The sequence below is a fragment of the Homo sapiens genome, chromosome 1, assembly GCF_000001405.40.
Source record: "Homo sapiens chromosome 1, GRCh38.p14 Primary Assembly".
Classification (NCBI taxonomy): domain Eukaryota; kingdom Metazoa; phylum Chordata; class Mammalia; order Primates; family Hominidae; genus Homo; species Homo sapiens.
Window position 1 is genome coordinate 175,133,166 of NC_000001.11, and position 21,782 is coordinate 175,154,947.

General features: G+C 45.6%; 1 protein-coding gene across 3 annotated transcripts in view, besides 2 other annotated features; it reads left to right on the forward strand.

The window, feature by feature from the left end:
- TNN (tenascin N) overlaps positions 1 to 14,910 on the forward strand; it is an 80,243-nt gene extending 65,333 nt beyond the window's left edge. For all 3 annotated transcript variants that reach the window (NM_022093.2, XM_017002048.2, XM_017002049.2), the window contains 4 exons: positions 2,680 to 2,776; positions 3,656 to 3,823; positions 11,222 to 11,385; positions 13,766 to 14,910. In NM_022093.2, the coding sequence (NP_071376.1) occupies positions 2,680 to 2,776; positions 3,656 to 3,823; positions 11,222 to 11,385; positions 13,766 to 13,906 (570 nt within the window). In that variant the 3' untranslated portion in view covers positions 13,907 to 14,910. The remainder of the gene's footprint in view (positions 1 to 2,679; positions 2,777 to 3,655; positions 3,824 to 11,221; positions 11,386 to 13,765) is intronic.
- Positions 18,888 to 19,182: a silencer, noted in NCBI's record as "tiled region #15603; K562 Repressive DNase unmatched - State 12:CtcfO". NCBI's record gives its function as "represses a minimal TATA promoter and a strong SV40 promoter by Sharpr-MPRA in K562 cells {active_cell/tissue: K562}" and the evidence as "EXISTENCE:reporter gene assay evidence [ECO:0000049][PMID:27701403]".
- Positions 20,782 to 21,281: an enhancer, noted in NCBI's record as "H3K27ac hESC enhancer chr1:175123083-175123582 (GRCh37/hg19 assembly coordinates)". NCBI's record gives its function as "activates a minimal SCP1, AML or CMV promoter by ChIP-STARR-seq in naive H9 embryonic stem cells {active_cell/tissue: H9 hESC(naive)}" and the evidence as "EXISTENCE:reporter gene assay evidence [ECO:0000049][PMID:30033119]".

A 21,782-nucleotide genomic window follows, 5' to 3' on the forward strand; every position in this document is an offset into this window, starting at 1 on the left:
TATCAATTCCAATAGTGTATACAGGTGTGTGTGGGTACTTTTCAGATTTACTTCCTATAAAAGAATCCAATTTACTGTGACTGGAACTGCCTTCCTTCTCCAAACAGTGGAATTTTTGAAAAGAAGGCAGTCCACACTTTGGTGAATGGCACCCAACTCTGCCTCCATTTTCTTGCTTCTCACTCATTCTTTGGCCCGTTCCAGTTTGGCTTCTGTCCATATCTCACACTGACACAGCCCTTGCTAAAATCACCAGTGATTTCTGTGCCACTAAATTCTAGGGATGGTTTTGGCCTCCTGTTCCTTGAGCTCTCATCAGTACTTGACACTATTGACCACACCTTTCTCTTTGTGGCTTTTGTGATTCCATATTTTTCTAGTTTCTTTTTCTCCACTTCTGTTGCCCCTTCTCTCTCCTTAATGGATTCGTCCTTCTTCATTATACATATTGGATGTCCTCAAGGCTTGATTCTAGGCCACTTTATCTTTTCAGTTCCCATTTTCTTCCTACGTGATCTCAGCTTTTCCCATGACTTCATTTTACCCTCCTCTGGGTCCCATGCTTCTCTGTACTAATTAGGATAGAATGGGCTCCAAATTCCAGCGACTGAACAAACACAGTGTATTTTTCTTATATGTGCAATGTGTTGTGCAGGTTTGGCAGCCAGATATAAGTGTGACTCAGGGATTCAGGCTGTTTCCAGCTTGTAGTTCTGCTGTTTCAGTGTGTGGCCTTTCCCATGGCCCCATGGTGCATGGCAGTAGAAGAGAGAGTGTGGAGAACCCACCCACACACAAAAGGCTCCCACCTACAGCCTTTTGGCTGCAAACAGTCACATGGCTCCAACTTAAATGCAAGGGAAGCTGTAAATGGACATCCTCCTCCTGTGTTCCTGGGAAGAGGAAAGTGAACTGAGACTCAGTGAACTCCTAGCATTGCCTGAGACACACTCTACCTTAATAAGTCTAGCATAGACCTCTCTTTAGAACTCCAGCCCTTACATCCAATTGCTCTGTGGTATTTTCATTCACTAGCACACCTCAGAAATAACTCACACTTAACCACATCCCCAAATGAGCTCATGACCCATTCATAAAACCTGTACTTGGCCAGGCGCAGTGGCTCACACCTGCACTTTGGGAGGCTGAGGTGGGTGGATCACGAAGTCAGGAGTTCAAGACCAGTCTGGCCAATATGGTGAAACCCCGTCTCTACTGAAAATACAAAAATTAGCCGGGCATGGTGGTGTGTGCCTGTAATCCCAGCTACTTGGGAGGCTGAGGCAGGAGAGTCGCTTGAACCCGGGAGGCGGAGGTTGCAGTAAGCCAAGATCACACCACTGCACTCCAGCCTGGGCAACAGAGTGAGACTCCATCTCAAAAAACAAACAAACAACAACAACAACAAAAATAAATAAATAACAATAAACTACCACCTGTCCTCTCTGAATCCCCCATCTCAGTGAATAGCTGAGAGAAGAGTCATCTGCAAGCCCATACTATAAGAAACTTATCTTACCTTGACTTCCTCCTCTTTCAGTTCCACATTCTGTCACCACCTCTGTCAACTTTACCTTCTATGCACTTCCATCTATTCTCAGGGCATTCCTCATCCAAGCTACTGTCCCCCTTCATCTGCACTCTACAGTGGTCTCCTAATTGGTCATCTCACTTCCACTCTTGCCCCTGACCAGTCCATTCCATACACTACAAGCTAGAGACGAATCTGATTGGATCTCATTTCCTGCTTAAAACTCTGCAATAATTTCCAGCGCTCTTACCTGGACCAACGTCTTCAACAATCCCTTTTAAAGGCTCACCAGGACTGACTCTTGCCATCTTCTCAGCCTCCCTTTCCATCCCTTCCTCAGCCCCCAGAAGCCCCAACATTCACCCCCGTGCTCTTGCCTGACCACTCCTACTCATCCTGCAGCTCAGCCATGTCCTGGGGGTGGTTTCTTGGCTCCTTGGTCAGGTCCTCCTGTTTTATGCTCTTACAGTTCTGTTGCATCTTTCCCTCATAGCCCTTATCACAGTTTTAACTGCATTTAAAAATTATTTAATTTAGTAATTTTATTTACTGAACTATTAGTTCCAGGAGGGCAGGGACTATTTCTGATTTATTCACTTTGCACACTATCTTGCATATTGCCTAGTACATAGTAGATGCTCAGTAAATATTTGTTGTGTGAACTTTTTTCTCCATAAGTATTAAATAATCGCTATATTAAGAATCAGGTGAATTAAAAAATAATTCCTACCCTCAAACTATTTCAGAAAAGGGGAAAAAAGATGCCATAAACATGATGTGCCCCAATTGAGTTGAATGGGTGTTGAAAGTTACATGTGAGAGTTAGCAGAGGTCTGGAATATCTTGCCCTAGACAACCCACACTAGCAACTGAATCACACAACTAATGGAAAGAATTGAAATTTCTTGAGGGCAGGAACCTTCTCTGCTTTTGCTCTACATGTCTTAGTACCTGGCATACTACGGTACATATAAAGAATGCTTATTAATATAGTGAATCTACTGACATATAAATAAAAAGCCTCTCTAGAATGAAAGGCTTGCTAGCTGGAGGAAGGCAGTGTATGAGCAAGCTCTTGGTCTTCTCTTGTCTCCCAGCACCTATGTCTGTTTGGAGGGTCAGAGTGAAGTATTCATCTTCCTTCTCAGGTCTTCCAGAGGCGGAACACTGGGCAGCTGGATTTCTTCAAGCGATGGAGGAGCTATGTGGAAGGCTTTGGGGACCCCATGAAGGAGTTCTGGCTTGGTATGATCTCAGAATCCAGGAGGCTGGGGCTGTGGGGGGTGATTTCTCCCAGGACAAGCTAGCTAGGAGGCTTAGGGAAGCTCACCACCTTCACAGAGAGGCCCCAGTGGCAGGGAGACAGAGGACTGTGCCGAGCAGGGTGTTGGTGGGCATGTTGATGGGAAGGCTGTCTTGCACTCTGAACTTGTTGAAAGGTAGGGTGGTCACAGGGGTTTTATGCTGATTTAAGCTCTGCAGGATCTGCCTGCAGCCTGAAGATCTTAGAAGCCACAGTAGTAGAAAAAAAGTTCAGTGATTGGGATGCTGGTCCATTACTGGGAGGTCACTCTAGCAGTCTCTAAAATTCTGTTCGTGATGCCAGGCATTATGAGCAATTTTTTCCCCCTTTTCCCTCTGCTCTCCTCTGGAGCAGATGTTCACAGACAGTGAAATAGCCAAAAGCATGAATTGGGAAATGAAGAATTAAAAAGTCATAGTTCAGATACCCAGTGTCTAATAAAGTAGATGATATTTGTGGTTTGCTCAGTGTAAAATCTCTTTGGGGATCTTAGGATGAGTCGTTGACCTGCTCTCCTACTTGGTGAGATAAATGGATGATAAATACAACTGCTTCTGTTTTAGAAGGATGGAGCCAATGGAGGCAGATTCCTTCTGGGGTTACCCTGCCCCCTTCACTGCTCCCTTCCATAGAATGTGGTCTTCGCACTCCTTAGTGTGACTATGAGCCCCCAAAAGAGAAAGTGCTGAGACTGCCCCTTATTAGCAGAGAAGGTAAAGACTAAAGTGACTTTAGGTTCTGAAAGCCTCAGACACACATGTTGAGTGCTTACTCGCACACATGGGTTGATTGATTATTGGAATTCCGTTTTTTATTTTTAGGACTTGACAAGCTACACAACCTCACCACCGGCACTCCAGCGCGGTATGAGGTGAGAGTGGATTTACAGACTGCCAATGAATCTGCCTATGCTATATATGATTTCTTCCAAGTGGCCTCCAGCAAGGAGCGGTATAAGCTGACAGTTGGGAAATACAGAGGCACGGCAGGTGAGAAAAAATGTTTTCTTACTGCGAAGGTCTCTTGCTGTCTGTTGTGTAAGGATTGGTTTGCCGTGTGCCACTGATCTGGGGGATGGAATATTATTCTGTGGAGGTGAATTGTTCTCATTGACAGTGGAGGTCCTACTCTCTGCAGGGGGTCAGGAGTGAACAAATAGTTGAAGCAATCCTTGACCACCATAAAATTGGAATTTTGTATGTTATATGTCATCCCCCCACCCCAATAAAAACCCTCCCCTTGTACTCCTCTTATTCAGGCTGTTGTACATTAGCTGATGAGCCCATATTCTGAACAATTTCTTGATGCTTGTCAGTCTTTCATTCGGCTTTAGCAGTGTGGCTGTCATCTTTGTCTGCACAGTAGTGTGTGTGTGTGTGTGTGTGTGTGTGTGATTATTTGAGCTTTTGGTGGCACTTTGCTATAAAAACAGAATAAGGAAAGTGCTGATTCAAATAATAAGAAGTATAGGTCTCATTAATTTAATTCAACTGTGACAACACAGAAATGAGCAGTTCAGTGGAAAGTGAAGGAACCTTTAGCCTCTAGTAGCTGCTCATTGGAGCTAAGCCAGTTGCTGGTGTGTTTGGTTGTGAGGGAAAAGAGCAAAATTAAGCAACATGACTGAAATGCTGGAATGATACCAGTAAATTAAATACATTATGTAAGAGGGGGAGGTGTGGTCATTGTTTTAATACCAATATTTTAAAAGCGGTATTTATGGTTTTTAAACCATAACAAGTGTTTTGACATTTGCCTGTGTTTTGACATTTGCGTTTTTGACTTTGGTGTATTTACACAGGAATGTGTTACCAGCCAGACTGACCGACTGTATAAGACATGGCGGTCTCTCTCCTTAGACTTAAATGTAAATAGGTGAATACAAATAGAAGGTAACTTTTGCAGAGAGTCAAATAAGGGGTGAGAAACATAAACAGTTACAGGAGTGTGGAGAAGGTGGGCACATGGAGTACGAAGCAACTGGAGGGAGCTGGATCTGCAAAAAGGGGCAAACTCAAGTGGGAGGAAATAGAGGGCTCTCCAGGCCTGGGGGCTTTAGGGTGAGTAGGGACTGAGCAGAGGCAAGAATGCTGGAGTTTATCTCACAGCCTTGCTGGACTTCTCAAGATCATGTACTCAAGGACCCCTGATGGCAGAAGACTGTGAACAGAACTTCTGAGTGTCTGGGGCCATGATCTGGGTGGCCAACTATGAATGCAAACCTTCTTTGAGATCTTATAATTTCATTTAAAAAATAGTCACATGAATTTTGCATTTGTTCTTGTTTCCCAGTGCCTATCTCAGAGCCTGGTACAGAGTAGGAGAGTTTAAAAAATGAAATTGCTAGCAGGACTTTTCTATATACATAATCTTAGGGATGTTTAGTATCTTACATTATAGTCCCTGAGACCCAAATAAGTTCCATAGGGGTGAATGAAAGGTGAGTTTGGTGACATGGTGACATGGGAGGGGACAAAGAGGGAGGGGTAGGCACCTACCAGAGTATGAGGCATTTGGGCTACAGACACGGGGAAACTGTTCCAGGATTCTGAGTAGGAGTTGGGTGAGAAAAAGTATGCAAAGAATTATTTCAGGGAAAAGACAATCCTTGAAAAAAAAGCATTGCAGCTAGAAGATCCTCACTGCCTTTGGATACTGTCACTTCTTTCCTAAGTAGTCCTGGGTCTCCACGGGCTGAAGACAGGCTGTGCTACATGTACTTGAAGTATAACATAGTCATGCATTGCTTAACGACAGGGATACATTCTGAGAACTGCATTGTTAAGCATTTCATCATTGTGCAAACATCATAGAATGCACTTACACAAATCTAGATGGCAGAGCCTGCTATAGACCAAGGTATATGGTGTAGCCTATTGCTACTAGGCTACAAACCTGTATGGCATGTTACTAAATATTGTAGGCAATTGTAACACCATGGTAAGTACTTATGGATCTAAATATATGTAAACATAGAAAAGGCACAGTGAGAATATGGTATAAAAGATAAAAAATGGCCAATCTGTAAGGGTACTTACTATGAATGGAGCTTGCAGGACTGGAAGTTGCTCTGGGTGAGTCAGTGAGTGGTGAGCGAATGTGAAGGCCCAGGACAGGACTGTGCACTCCTGTAGACTTTAGGCACACTGCCCTTCGGCCACACTAAATTTATTTAAAAATGTTCTTTCTTCGTTAATAAAAATTAACCTTATCTTATTGTAACTGTTTTACTTTATAAACTTTAACATCTTTTTCAATTTTTTTGACTCCTTTGGAGTAACACTTCGCTTAAAACATAAGCACATTGTGCAGCTGTACAAACATATTTTCTTTCTTTATATCCATATTCTGTAAGTTTTTTTTTCTATTTAAACATTTTTTATTTTTATTTTTTACTTTTTAAACCTTTGTGTTAAAAACTAAGACACAAATACACACATTAGCCTAGGCCTGCACAGGGTCAGGATCATCAATATCACTGTCTTCCACCTCCGCATCTTGTCCCGCTGGAAGGTCTTCAGGAGCAATAGCACACATGGAGCTGTCATCTCCTGTGATAACAATGCCTTCTTCTTGAATACGTCCCAAAGGACCTGCCTGAGGCTGTTTTACAGGATTTTTTTTTGTAAAGTACTCATACACTCTAAAATAGCAATAAAAAGCATAGTATTATTCACACAAACCAGTAACATAATTATTTATTATCATTATCAAGTATTATTTACTGTATGTAATTGTATGTGCAAGACTTTTGTATAACTGGTAGGTTTGTTTACACCAAATCACCACAAACACATGAGTGATGCATTGGTCTGCAACCTTACGACAGCTGTGATGTCACTAGGTAATTTTCAGGTTTATTGTGATCTTATGAGACCACTGTCGTATATGCAGTCCCTTGTTAACTGAAATGTTCTTATGCAGGGCATGACTGTATAAAACATGAAAGTCAGATATAGAAAAAGGCAGTTATAATACAGTTGGGAAACATAGATGGACATTCATATGATTATGAGGATATTAACTGAATAAGAGGGGATTTAAAGATGCTATTTTGTGTGACTAAGCACACTGTCCATATCCTCCCACCCCATCTCTAAATGAGATCAGACTATGTTCCTGACAGCTTATTCCAGGTTCTTCCAACCCTTTGGTATAATACAGTACACACATTCCAGTCTGTCCCAGAGCCCTTGGGCCTCTTCAGTCCACATGGAGTCCATCTGATCATTTCTTTGGTTTCCAGTACCCTGTTGTCTGCTCTTGATCATGGCCATCGGTTAGCCTCAGCCTTTCCTTCTCAGGTTAAAGAAGTCTACATAAGCTCCATGCGTGGGACCCTCCCTGGACACAATATGAAGTGGGTGTTTTTCTTTGGCCCGTGTGCCCCACATCTCTCCCTGAAACCCAGTGCCCTCCCTGGCCTCCTGGTCAGGAACCTCACTCAGGCCTGTCCTCCCGGGCTGCACATTTCCTTTCCCTTGGCCATTACCATTTGCCTTTTCTGAAGCCTGTGTTAAAGTGATCCAGCAAATGAACTGATGCCAATGGGAAAGAGACTGAAAGGGAGTCAACATGTTTGGTGAATTATTTAATTCTCCTCCCAGGTACTCTGTTTGCATGTTAACTGCAATGAGGGGATAATTCCTGTTCTAAGGTTGTTCAGGCCAACAGTGCCAGCAAGTAGAGGATGTATTTTTTAATAGAATTATTTTTTAATAGGAGACTTTCACACAGCATTTAGGCAGCGATCTAGTCTTCCCATGTGTACTATCATTCCCGCTTTTAAATTCTGAATTACAATGGTAGGGTTAGTGGAGTTTTAGCGTTCCTTATGTACACTGATTTGTCCATGAGGAGGGTTTCAGAATTTAGAAAGCTCCTGGCTACTCATGTCTTGAATGCTGAGGCACTGTTTAGAGGACACGGCATTCAAATGGAAGGTGAATATTTTGATACCTCCCTGCACGCACCAGCTCTCCCCAGCCTCTATCTTCATTTTAGCTCTGATTAGAACTGGCATGCATGCAGCCTGGCAGGAATGTGTGGCTTAAGGCTTGCTCCCCACTCAGACTGTCCAGGTGGGCCCTCAACTTTTGACTTCCACTCAAGTTATATCAGAAAGTCCATTTTCCCTTCATGAAGCAAATTCCAGCAAGGTAATGATGTGTAAATTTAGTTTCTGATTCTGAGTCTTCTAGTGGGGGCAGGGAGGCTATCTTATGAGCTCCACCATTAAGATGTTATTCATCTATTTAGAGATCATAATGCAAACATAAAGAGCTAGGCATTCAGAATGGTGCAGAATGAATTCTAGGGCTAACCAATGATTTACAGCTGATTTCGAGTCCCACCTGCATGGGCCACAGTGGGGACACAACCAGGGATGGATCCCAACCTGGGGGCATTTGGAAATGTGACTGGGGAGCTCTGGAAGCATTTAGTGGGTTGGGACCAGGGATGGATTTTTAAATGCTGGCACCTGAAAAAGAAAAAAAAAATTAATGGGTACCTGGATGAAAGGGAGAGCTAGAAATGGCACAAATCATTTGTAATCATCCATTCCTAATCCTGAAATAAAAGACATTCAAGGTTCTGACACACACTACTGTGTCTGTGTGTGACTGACAGGGGATGCGATGTTAATGGCTTCTCCTGATCTTTGAAGGTTCAGCTGCCTGGGCCATCTTTCCCAACCTGGTGAATCCTAGAGGGGGAGAGTGGGCCTCAGAGGGACATTTTGATGAGATGGATGGTGACCAACTTGATCCCCTCTGAGTTTGGGCACAGACCTTTCATGGGCCTGCCATGAACCCCTCCAGTCCTCATTCTCACTCTCTACACTCTGAACATTAGGATGGCTTCAGTTTCTAGAAGGTAGAAAATCCTTCTGCAGAAAAAGACCTCCCACATTTGGGTGAAAACCTGCTTTACCTTTCTTTATCCCAGTGCCCAGGTTTAGATCATCACAAACATGTCTTTAAGAGAGCCTCTGCACAGATTCTTAGAAAGCAGCCCTGGGAACCTTCTATGTAAATTAGCTAAGCTGTGCTCATTTAAAGAAGGTTACTAAGGGAGACACTGCACGTTATTTCAAGCTGTGGTTAACTTTCTGTACAAAGTCTAGAGGGAGGCGGAAATGTGTATGACTAGCATGACAATATACCTTTCTTGGATTGGAGAAAACTACTGGAGACAGACCTGTCTGCTGTGTTTGCGTGGAAGTGGCCTCCGTGGCCCCAGAATCCTCCTGCTTTTTCTGGGTGAGGCATAAACGAGCTGCTGGTGAGATTGCAGACTTGGAGGGGGCAAATTAGGACCTTCCCTTTTAACATATGCTACCAACTCTGCATATTCACCCCACCCACTCCAAAAACGTTTTTGAGAGCAAGGACCTTCTTATTTTTGTGTTCACAGAGCCAAGCATGTGCTGCTCCACAGCAGGTATTCAGTAAATGTTCCCTAAAAAACAAGTGAAGTTGTAGACCAGAGGTTCTCACACTGTAGCCTGCGTCAGATCATCGGAAGGGCTTGTCAAGGCATAGGTTGCCGGGGCCCAACCTGTAGTTTCCGGTTCTGTAGGTCTGGGCTGGGGCCAAATAATTTGCATTTCTTTTTTCTTTTCTTTTTTTTTTTGAGATGGAGACTCACTCTGTCACCCAGGCTGGAGTGCAGTGGCACGATCTTGGCTCACTGCAACCTCCACCTCCCGGATTCAAGCAATTCTTCTGCCTCAGCCTCCAGAGTAGCTGGGACTACAGGTGTGCACCACCATGCCAGGCCAATTTTTGTATTTTCAGTAGAGACGGCGTTTCACCATATTGGCCAGGCTGGTCTTGAACTCCTGACCTCATGATCTGCCTGCCTCGGCCTCTCAAAGTGCTGGGATTACAGGTGTGAGCCACCGTGCCTGGCCCATTTGCATTTCTAACAAGTTCTCAGGGGATGTGGATGCTGCTGGTCTGGGAACCCCACTTGAAGAGCCATTGATAGATAGCTCTCTCTTGCTAGCGTGCAAGAAGCCCCCCATTGAAACAAGGAAGGCATAGGTGGATTGGTGTCTCAGAAAGAACCCTGGACTTGGAATCTCAGGACAGAGATTTGAGTCCCAGCTCTGCTGTTTGTGGACGGTGGGACCTTAAGAAGTTCCTAGAGTCTAACCTTTTTGAATTTGTTTCCCCACGGGACTAAGAGCTGCCCTGCTCACTTCACAGGGTTGCTGTGAGAGTGAGATGAGAATGCACATGCGAAGAAGATCGCTAAACTTAGAGCTGAGATATAAATGTAAGAATCTTTATTGCAGGAACAGAGCTTGATGAAGCTTGTGATTGATATGGGCCCTTATTGCCTTTTATGAGCAGAAAAAGAAAGCTTGTAAAAGGATGAAAAATATGATAGGGAAACAGGAGATACATAAGCAAAATAATTAAAGCAGTTTTCCAGATGGGATGTAATGAAGGACTGAATTTTACATGTGTCTCCAGAAGGGCTCTGGAAGTTCAGGAGTGTTTGTGTGTAGGTGTGTGTGTGTGTGTGTGTTAGGAGGGTGCATGGGAAGACCAATAAAGAGAATCTTCTTTAGAAGTGGCCTTGAGCTAGGCTTTGAAGGGATGGTTGGGATTTGGACAGATGAGGGCAGAGAGAAATCTCCTGGAAGGTGGGCTGGTCCACAGTGGAGGGTGTGTGGTGGAGATGGTGGGATGCAAGACTGTGCATAGGGCACAACCAACCTACAGGCCTGCAAGGCATGGAAGAGGAATTCACCTCCACGTGGTATGAAGTAGACTGTTAGGCCTGAGATGATGAAAATGGACGTCTAAACTCCAGAGGGGCTGGCAGGCAAGAAGCCAGAGAGAAGGCTGTTTTGTTAACACAGACCCAGGATGAGAGAAGGCCGAGGGTGGCTGTCATGGGAGCAGAGACATAGGGGTGTATGTGAGTGACCTGCAGAGGGAGGGCTTGAGAAGAGGTATGAAGGGATTTCCAAACATGGCTCCAGGTTCCAGGTCTGGGTGGTGTGGAGAAGGGTGGACCCAAGGCAGAGTGGGTAGAGTGGAGAGTGGTGCTCTTGTGTGTGGTGTGGTCAGGGACTTGGGGAGAGTTGTTATGTTTGGATATTTGATCTGACTGTGGAGCTTCCAAGTGAAAATGCTATGAGAACTGTTGGAGAAACAGGCCTGAAGTTGGGGTACAGGCCAGGAAAGACAGCTTGTTCCCATGTGTCATGTTCCCATTTGGGCTGTTTTGAGAGAGCGGTGACTACCTGTGACATGACTGGCTGCATCTTTGGCATTTTCATGCCTAGAGATCTTCCTGCTGGGTCCTCTTTTGATCATCTCCTCGGTGGCTAACCCTGGGCTCTCGCCTCCGTCTCTTCTCTCCTGCAGGGGATGCTCTTACTTACCACAATGGATGGAAGTTTACAACTTTTGACAGAGACAATGATATCGCACTCAGCAACTGTGCCCTGACACATCATGGTGGCTGGTGGTATAAGAACTGCCACTTGGCCAACCCTAATGGCAGATATGGGGAGACCAAGCACAGTGAGGTAGGTGACAGGTGAATGTCTTTTCTGTCCCAGGGTATGTCCATATTCAGCTTCCAAATGGACACCCTCCAGGCCAGTCTGGCAGCCCCTCTCCTTCTGAAGCTTCCAGTCAAAGCAGTAGAGCTTCTCCTCCAGGCTCCATGGCCTTGAGGTCGTGGCCTCCCTTCCTGATGGCCATGGCCCTGCTTGTTTTGCATTCCCAGAGCTGCACACTTGCCTAGGGGAAGGTGCGGGAAAAGCTTGGGCTGCCCACTGCCATGTAATGACAGATGATGTGCTCTGCACGCTGTCTCATTTTACTAGTTCACACACTGTCAGCTCTAGCTGCTGTAACAAAATAACACAGACCAGGTGGCTCAAACAACAGACATTTATTTCTCACAGTTCTGGAGGCTGGGAAGTCCAAGATCAGACTGCTGGCAGATTTGGTTCTTGGTGGTGGACCTTGCTGGCTTGTGGCTGTGCGTCCTCACATGGCGGACAGAAAGGAGCTCTGATCTCTTCTTCATATAGGGGCATATGTCCCATCATGAGGGCTCCACCTCATGGTCTCATGTAAACCTAATTACCTTCCAGAGGCCCCCTCTACATACCATCATGTTGGTGGGGGGTGGTTAGGGCTTTACTACATGAATTTTGAAGAGACACAAACATTCAGTTTATAACAAACACTGCCTACTTTCTAGTTGTTCTCCTAGTTGAACAAGAGCTATTTCTTTAGGCTGAGCATGGTGGTTCATGCCTGTAATCCCAGCACTCTGGGAGGCTGAGGTGAGCTGATTGCTCGTGCCCAGGAATTTGAGACCAGCCTGGGTAACATCGTGAAACCCTGTCTCTACAAAAGATACAAAAATTAGCTGGGCATTATGGCGTGCACTTGTAGTCCCTGCCTCTAGGGAAGCTGAGGCAGGAAGATCACTTGAGCCTGGGAGGTTGAGACTGCAGTGAGCCATGATCAAGCCACTGCACTCCAGCCTGGGTGGCAGAGCAAGACCCTGTCTCAAAAAAAAAAAAAAAAAAAAAAAGCTGTCTCAAGTCCTTTGATCACCAGGAAAACAGTCTTTTGTGCCTTAGGTCAGACCTACTCTTGGATCCACTTCACCCAAAACCTTCCCAGAACATTGAGCTAGACCAGTCTCTCCACATTGGGAGTGTGCGCCCAGGGCCCAGGGGTCCAGGAGGGCTCCTCTTCCCACATTGCCCTGAAACTGTCCCACCCGCTATTTCTCAAGCCTCCTCTGCCCCAGTGCATCATCCTGACTCTTTGACAGCTGCGGGGCACTTCCCACCTGCTCCCTCACAGTTTCTTGAAAATTGCATCTTTGTCTCTGCTCGTCATTAATCCTCTCCCCTCCACAAACGCTGAGTCCCCATCCTAGGTTTCTAATTTCCCATCTGCAGCCCTGATCCTAAGCCTCCAGGAAGCCACCTCTTCAGAACTCACCTTGTACCAATATTACTGTAAATATTAGCACATCCGAAGTCCAGGTACATTTTGATTACTTTGGCCCTGACCAGTCTTCGGGACTCCCAATCTTTATGTGATTTTTCAAAGGGAAGAAGAAATTTGCCCCCAGGGAAGCTGGGGAGGGTGGGCCCATGAATCATGGTGGCAGCGTGTGGGCTGACTCAGGGAAGCCAGGGATAGGAGATCAAATATTGGAAACGAGCAGCCAGGATGCCCTGAACCATCCCATATTTGCTAATAAAAGACATTCATCTGTTTAATGCGCTTTTCACAGTCTGCAAGGCATTTAGCTTCTTGTTTATTATTTACCTCACAAATTAAAATACATAAAATTGGTCACTTGGGCTTTTTATTGGCCAGGTTGCAGGGTTATTAAGTGAATTAAATATTATTGCGCTCACCAGTCAAAAGAAATAAAATGAAATTTAGTTTTCAGCAGGCTATTTGTTACCCCAGAGCTAATATCTAAACAGTCTAAATTGAAAATGATTTTACACAACTGGCCAATTAATATGTTTATTTTTGCCTTTAATTTTTTGGAAAGGAAAAGAGTGAAGGAAAGATAATTTGCCCATTGCCGGCCCGGTTGACCCCTGTGTTGTCTCTGTGGCTGCTCTGGCCTCACCCAGCTCCCGGGCTCACACCCCCTTGCTCCCACCATAGAGACCGCCAGCTTCCAAATCGTCCAAGTCCTCTCAGCCCGTCTAACCCCAGCTGCCCAGCAGAGGGCGCGTGTGTCCGGATCCTGCCCTCCCCTCCCTTCTCATCACCCCGTCTCTTTCTCTCTCCTGAGCAGAGAGGGAGTGGTTTCACTGGTAATTAATTAATTAATTAATTCCTTTGTACCATAACCCACCCTGCCCTCCTCCTAAGAGCCTCTTCTTGATGTGGCTTTTTTTTTTTTTTTGGTAGGGGGTGAACTGGGAGCCTTGGAAAGGACATGAATTCTCCATTCCTTACGTGGAGTTGAAAATCCGCCCTCATGGCTACAGCAGGGAGCCTGTCCTGGGCAGAAAGAAGCGGACGCTGAGAGGAAGGCTGCGAACGTTCTGATGGCCCGTGTGAGCAGTCCTCGCAGGAGACACCACCAGCTGTGGCAGCTTGGGGCGGGGTGGGTAGTGGTCACTGCGGTCTGGGAGTGCTCAGATAGCCCGCAGAACAAATCATGTCACCAAGCTTCAAGCCATGGAGGTTCCTTCCCTCTCACCTGCATTTTTGCCCGTCTTTATGAGGGTCTTGAAAATCAAAATAGTAGTTGCACAGTATGTGTAGGAAAGACAGTACTGGAACGGCAAGGTTTCTCAGCTTATCTTCAGCAACATATATACTGGATTAGGGCAAGAGAAGGAATCACCCAGCACTTCACCAGTTGGAAATCTCTGGAAATTTACATCTATGTATTTAAAGTTCTGCTAATGCAAATCTTTTCTCTGGAAAGAAGCACAGAGGAGGAGTTCTGATGACCCAGGGGTTAGGGCTGAGACAACCGGACGTTTGTCACCTCCTTTCCCATTGGGTTTTTAGGAAAACAGTGTGAACCTCCCCCTTTTAATTTCTGGTGTTATGAGGAAGAATAAAGGGGATAAAAGGGGCTAAGATGGACTCATGTTTAGCTAAGTTCTGACTTGTATCCAGCATGCTGGAGACCAAAGCTGCCGCCTTACTGCTATTTTTAAGTGCCCTCTTTTCAGTCATTTGCATAATTGCGTCCATAGAGCTGCATATGTTGTGAATAAATTCTCACTCATTTCAACTTTGAATAATTTGACTGTCTTGATAATTGGTTCCTCCCAAAGACTCTTCTGCAACTCCCATTCATGCCCACCAGGCCTCAGACTCCCTCTTTTCCCCGCCCTGCACTATTGGAGCCCTGGGTTTTGTGGGAGTGCTCAGCACCGTGAGTCTTACTGTTTGATCGGACAGTTAGCAAGATCAGATCCTTTTTGCTTATTTTCTATCACTTTGGAGGGTTTTCTGTAGCAAAATCAGTGACCAATGAAGTAACTTAAATTCCTATTGAAGAAAAAAAATAATAAACCACTTGATTTAAAAAAAAATTGCCATGTGTTATTTTCCTCCACGTAAGTGCACTTGAATTCTAAATTTAACCTACATGCAAGTGAAGGTACAATTCGTGCATTGTAATGGAATTTGGTTGGCTGTGGACTCTGATTTGCATGATGGGAAATAATGGTATTTAGAATGCAGAAGTGAGTGAATGGGAAGTAAGGCGAATGCTCCAAAAGCTGCCGTACCCCTCCAGGACGAGGGTGTAGTCTATTGCCTAGATGTCTCCAGGTTTTAACCTCTGGGTGAATGTCAAACCATACCCCTGAAACCGTTTCTGTCAACCTTTAAAGTCTTCAGCATCCCCCTCTGGTGCCTTCCTTCCCCAGACACACACATTGAGCAATGCCATGGTAACTGCTCGCTCTGATAATGAGTGGTCTCAGTGAAATACAGTTTTAGTGTTGATGCTGACGATGAAAAAATGTGCTTGCATGTTATTAATTGATTCAACAAGAGTTTGTTGTTTGCTTTGTATCAAGCAGTGTGCTGGGCACTGGGGAAACAAAGGTGAGCAAGATAGACACTATCCTTGTATTGATGGAGCTTGTGTGCTGTCATTCATTCATTCGTTTACATTCACTCATTCAACGAATAGAGATGAAGCCCTATTATGTGCCAAGTTCCATTCTAAGCATTGGTGTTAATCAAGGACATAACATCATATTCCTGTCCTTGTGCTAATATTCTCATGGTGGAGGCTGACATTAAGCAACAAATAAATGTGTGGTTACAAGAAGTGGGAAATGCCGTGGAAGAAAAGGTAGGATGAGAAGATGAAGGTGTTGCATGGTGTTGGACTATGAAGCCTCTCTGAGGAGGAGATGTTTACAGAAATTGACCAAATTTCTCCTAGTCTTGATCTAACTTTATCAGGGCCTGAGCCTGAGCTAATTTCTTTGTCTGCCTTTTTTTTTTTTTTTGAATGGGGTCTCTCTCTGTCTTGCAGGCTGCTGTATATTCACATGATCAAGGCTCACTGCAGACTTGAACTCCAGCCTTGAACTCCTGGGCTCCAGCAATCCTTCCGCCTCAGCCTCCTGAGTAGCTGGGACTACAGGCACATGCTACTGTGCCCAGCTAATTTTTTACTTTTTTGTAGAGATGGAGTCTTGCTATCTTACCCAGGCTGGTCTCATCTGTCTTAAAGGTCTGTCTGCACAACTTCCCAGTTCCAAGTCTTCTCCTCAAATTCTCTTCTTTTAAAAACATTTTTGTAGTTTTTTAATTGTTTTATTTAATAGAAATGGAGTCTTATTGTCACCCAGGCTGTGTGAGGAAAACAGTGTAAATCTCTCCCTTTTAATTTCTGGTGTTGTGAGGAAGAATATAGGGAATAAAAAAAGGCGAGTGCAATGTGTGACCACAGCTCATTGTAGCCTTGAATTCCTGGACTCAGCAATCCTCCCGTCTCAGCCTCCTGAGTAGCTGGGACTGCAGGCGAGTGCCACCATGCCCAACTATACATCTATATCTATATCTTTATCTATATCTATATCATCTATATCTATATCTGTATCTATATGTATATCATCTATATCTATATCTATGTCTATATCTATAGATATATAGCAGGCTCTTGCTATATTGCTCAGGCTGGTCTTGAACTCCTGGCTTCAAATGATCCTCCAGCCTTGACTCGGGAAGTAGATGGGACTACGGGTGCTAGCCGCCGCACCTGGCTGGAATTCCCTTCTGCTGCTCCGTGACCCCGTTTGCATGTGGGGTACTCAGCTTCGTAATTATGAAGCTTTGGGCTCATCACAGTGATCCAGGGTTTTTAGAAAAGTGCCTCCTTTGCAAAATGGATTAAATCCCAGAAATTGACTTCGAGCCAAGGATGGTGATTGTTGGCAATGCTTCTCAACTTTGAACATGCTTGTTAACACAGAGATCACGGGGTCCCTTCCCCAGACGCTCTAGTTAAGTAGGTCTGGGCCGAGGGCTGCTGCTGGAGTGGTGTCCACTCTGAGTAGCTGTGGTGTGGGGGAGCCGCCGGTGGTCTTTTTGCTCTGGAGGAGCCTGTGATGGTAGCAAATTACAAAACACACACCCCTGTGTTCATTGACCCCAGGGTTTCTCCACCACTGGGCAAGAGGAGGACTTTTGGGAAACAGGAGCTATTTCTTACATTATTTTGCCTGTAGGACCCATGGTGCACAAAGGAGCGGGTGAAGAAAACCTCAGCTGACCCTTCAAAGGTTCTACTGGGGACCAGGAAGGAAGTTGAGAGAAACTCATTTTCAAAGGGCCTCTGTCTGACTGAGGAAAACATTCCAACTTGAAACTTCCATGCCTAACCTCATTTTAACGTGACCAGTGCTCACAACTTCCAATCTGGTAGCTGAATATGGGCCCGTGGAATGGGTTTCTGGATAGACCTGCTTTTTAGAGAGAGTCAATTTTCTTAGAACCAGGTTATGAGCCATCAAGGTTTTGAAGCTTACAGGGACGATTTCTACCCTTTAGAACAAACTAAAGCAAACAAAAGCTCTCATAGAAGGCACAGGCTGCAAGCCAGGCACTAGGGTAGATGCAAAGACAGAAGTCTTGGTAAAGTTTCCAAAGTGTTGCCTTTTATGCAGGACATGAGCAAGACAGTGATAAACAGAACACAAATGTGGCCTTCCAGCAGCTCTTGGAGTGGTGGCAGAGGCAGCCATGGAAACAAACTGGGGAGAGTGAGTCCACAGGGAGGTGGACTGAACACTGTGGGCAGAGTCAGGGTGACTCATCCTGCCAGGGGTGCCAAGGGAGAGAGCTTCACGGGGATGTGATGTCGGCTTTAAGTCTGGAAGGATGAGTTCTGGGGGGAGAAAAAAGAGGCCCAAGAGGGGTGGGGCCCATCGGGTACAGGAGACTTGGCAGCAAGGAAGAGAAAGTGTGGAGTGTGGCATGTCTGAGGGGGGCAAAGTGGTTTCTTACTGGGGTGAGGAGAGCTTGGTGGGGAGCCAGGCTGGTGAGATGAGTGGGGATTCTTCCTTTGCCAGGCCAGTACTGAGGTTCTCAGCGCTCACTACCTGTCGGCGGCGGCAGGGGGCCTCCATGGGTACAGAAGCTCCACTCCCCTCAACGGGCTCTGCTCCAGTGGGTATCAGGTGAGTTCTGTGCACCTGAGCTTCCTAAAGTGCCCCCAAGGATTCCAACATAGACCACGCTTGAGAGCCACTGCTCAGATGAAAGCATGTGGAAAGTGGGGAACACACAGGTTTTTAAACCTGAGAGTGACAAGGTCAGATGTATATTTCGGAAATATCAGTCTGGTGATAGGATAGACAACAGGGCTGGGGGTGTTGAGGGAAGTTTTGGAGGAAGGATAGGGACTCACAGGCAAGTTGAGTGCTATTGTGATAGTTCAGGCAAGCGGTCATAACTTCCTTGGCCTGTGGCAGAAATGGTGGAGAAGGGGAGGAGGGTCTAGATTAGTGAGATATCCAGGAAGAAGGAATGGTGGGCTTTGAGGAGGATGGGTGGTACAGGCAAGAGATGGGTCGTTTCATGTCAGAGCTTAGAGCTGGTTGTTCCTGACAGTGGCTTCCTCTGGGAATAGGGTCCCAGAGTTTATGTTTGTCAAATGAGATCAAAAGCTCTGCGTTTAAAATTTGAATTCTCAGGGATTTAAAGATGATTAAAGCCAGGAAATGCTGAAGGAGCTGAGGAGAAAGATAGAAAATGCCTCCAGAAATTGTGATTGAGGAAGGAAAAAGGCCAGGTGTGGTGTGTGAGGAGATGTGGACAGGGGACATGCAGATGAAGGGATGGCATGGCAGAAGGAAAAACAAGTATAACAGCGAGAAACTCTTGGTGAAATTTAGCCAGTTGATGGAAAAGGCCCTCCACTAATCCCAGCTACGCCGGAGGCTGAGGCAGGAGAATGCTTGAACCCAGGAGGCAGAGGTTGCAGTGAGCCGAGATTGAGCCATTGCACTCCAGCCTGGGCAACAAGAGCGAAGCTCCGTCTCAAAAAAAAAAAAAAAAAAAAAGAAATTCCAAGTCATTACCTCAAGCGCTTCGCTAGGGTGGTGGAGGGGATCAGGAGGGAGTTCATGTCAATACGGAGCTGATCAATACGGTTGGGACCGCAGCTTAGTGCAAGAGGTTTGCTATATTCAGCCTGGCCAGGAGATGGCAGTGTTGTCCTGTCGGGAGCCTCTCATTTCAGCGCCACTTCTCTCTTCTATAAAGGGGAGTTCTGGGGGCTAGGTCCCCACTTTTCTCTTTTCCTGGGTGATGCTATCTGGAGAGTCAGTCGGTGAGGCCCAGCTTAACATTGGGCCTGCACTTGGTGGTTTCTTAGGCAGCGTTCTTGCTGGACAAATGCGCAAAAAATAACTGGGAACAACCTTGAGGAGATTGCTTGGTGAGATTGGACTCTATCCCCAGACCCGGCGCACTGGGCTGCTGGGGAGGAAAGGCGGATAGAGGTTGTCAGCCTGATGAAAGGTGAAGGGGGGCACCCCTGGGAGAGATTTCAGGCAGCTCCTAATTTGCAAATGAATTCACTTCTCCAATTCCTTCTGTCAGTTGGCTGTTTCTGTGGGTGAAATTATTTGAGTTCCAATTATAATGTTATATAAAGAAGGTAGGTTCTCAGGTTAGCCCATAAAACTCTGTTTACTCTACAATATAGATGAGTTGCAGTGTATGTATAATGAAAAATAGGAAACAACAGTATTGCGGTACTGTAATTTAAATAAAAGAAAGAAACAAAATGGAATGGAAACAGTTCTTTATTTTGGTAAGTGAAGAAAATTAGGTTGAATTAGAGAAGGAGAAGGAGGCAGATGAGGCTTGCTGTGGGACATATAAAGGAGGCATTTGGGCACTTTAAAGGCTTATGGGAAGACCCTTGATTGTGTTCTGTAAGTTTCCAACTCAAGGGAGGGGCGTCTACAAGTTCAACAGTCTTTGAGGAGCCAAGATCAGATTGGCCTGGATCTCGATGCCTGGTGTGCAGAAGGAACACTGGGGTAGGAGTCTGAAGACTTGGGTTTCTATTCCAGTTTTGGGTAAACTGGCTTACCTTCTCTGGGCCTCATTTTCTTCATTTATAAAGTGAGAATCAAGTGAAATAATGAAAGTGGTTTTTATGTACGAAGGCACTCTGGAATGGTAAAATAGTGGGCTTGGATCTTCAGTCTTCATATTTTCATTTAAAACTTTTTCTTTTTTTCTTTTTTTTCTTTTGATAGAGATGTCTCTTTAGCAGCTCTAAAACATATTTGCTATGAATAGCCACCAACAGGATTATTATGGGTTGCAAATGGAAGAAAGAGAAAGGGAAGAGTAAAAGAGAAAGGGAAGAGTAAAAGAGAAAGGTTCATAAAGGTTAGTGAGAATCTGTATACACTGCAGAAACAGTTTCCTCTGGAGATGACATTGACTGAGTCTGTAGTGGAAGTCAGGAGCAGAGGAAGCGTGGAGTGCGCACTAGCTCTCTATGGAAGACGGGAGCAGGGGACGCGTGGAGCGTGCACTAGTCCTCCATGGAAGTCAGGAGCAGAGAATGCCTGGAATGCGCACTATCCTTCCATAGAAGACAGGAGCAGAGGACGCCGGAGTGCGCACTAGCCCTCCGTGGAAGACGGGAGCAGAGGACATCGGAGTGCGCACTAGCAGTCCATGGAAGTCAGGAGCAGAGAATGCCTGGAGGGCGCACTAGCCCTCCATAGAAGACAGGAGCAGAGGACGTCGAAGTGCGCACTAGCCCTCCATGGAAGACGGGAGCAGAGGACGGTGGAGTGCGCACCAGTCCTCCGTGGTAGACAGGAGCAGAGAATGCCTGGAGTGTGTACTAGCCCTCCATGGTAGATGGGAGGAGAGAATGCCAGGAGTGTGCACTAGCCCTCCATAGAAGATGGGAGCAGAGGACGCGTGGAGTGCGCACTAGCCCTCCTTGGAAGTCGGGAGCAGAGGACGCCGCAGTGCGCACTAGCCCTCCATGGAAGACAGGCGCAGAGGACGCCGGAGTGCGCACTAGCCCTTCATGGAAGACGGGAGCAGAGGATGCGTGGAGTGCGCACCAGCCCTCCATGGAAGTCAGGAGCAAAGGATGTGTGGAGTGCGTACTAGCCCTCCATGGCAGCATTTCCCAAATGGTGGCCCCTGAATCTTTGTTCCTCCAGATGTGCTAAAAGAAAAAGAGGCTTGTGGTTAAATAAATTTGGGAAAATTTTAAGGGGAGTTAAACCAAATTCTTTATTACAGCACCTGCTAGAAACTTTAATGTGATAAATGCGTTGCAGATCCCAAGGGGGTGAAGTGGGAAAGTTATACTATGCAGTGTTTGCAAACTTATTTGACCGTACACAGTTCTTTTGTTGTTTTGATAGTATTTCTCAAGGTGTGGTTCAGGGACCACCTGCATTGACCTGGTGTTTATTAGAGCAGGTTGTCTGGCATCACCCTAGACTTAATAATCAGCCAGAAGGGCAGGGAGAGACAGGGAATTTGCATTTTTAAGAAACACCTCAGTGTTTATTTCCCCCAATCAACACATTTATTTAGCATATAGTATGTGCCAGGCTCCATGCTAGGTGTTGAAGATATACTAGTGAATAAGACAGTTCTAATTCTAATCTCATAAAGCTAATTCTAATGGGGGTCAAAATAGGGGTGGGGTGCTGGGAATAGAAGCAACACACAATTGCAATGTGGTCTAGTCTTACTGCAATGGGCAAGACTTGTGTGGTTAGGGAAGCTTTACTGTAGTGAGGCTATATATAGAACACTTCACCAAAATATGTTTGTAACAACAGTTGAGACCTATGATTTATGGAAATCCCCCATATGTCACATGAGCACGGCATTCCGGACCCTGACAGATTTGTGAATTTCACATAAAACCCGGTGACTCTTTTGC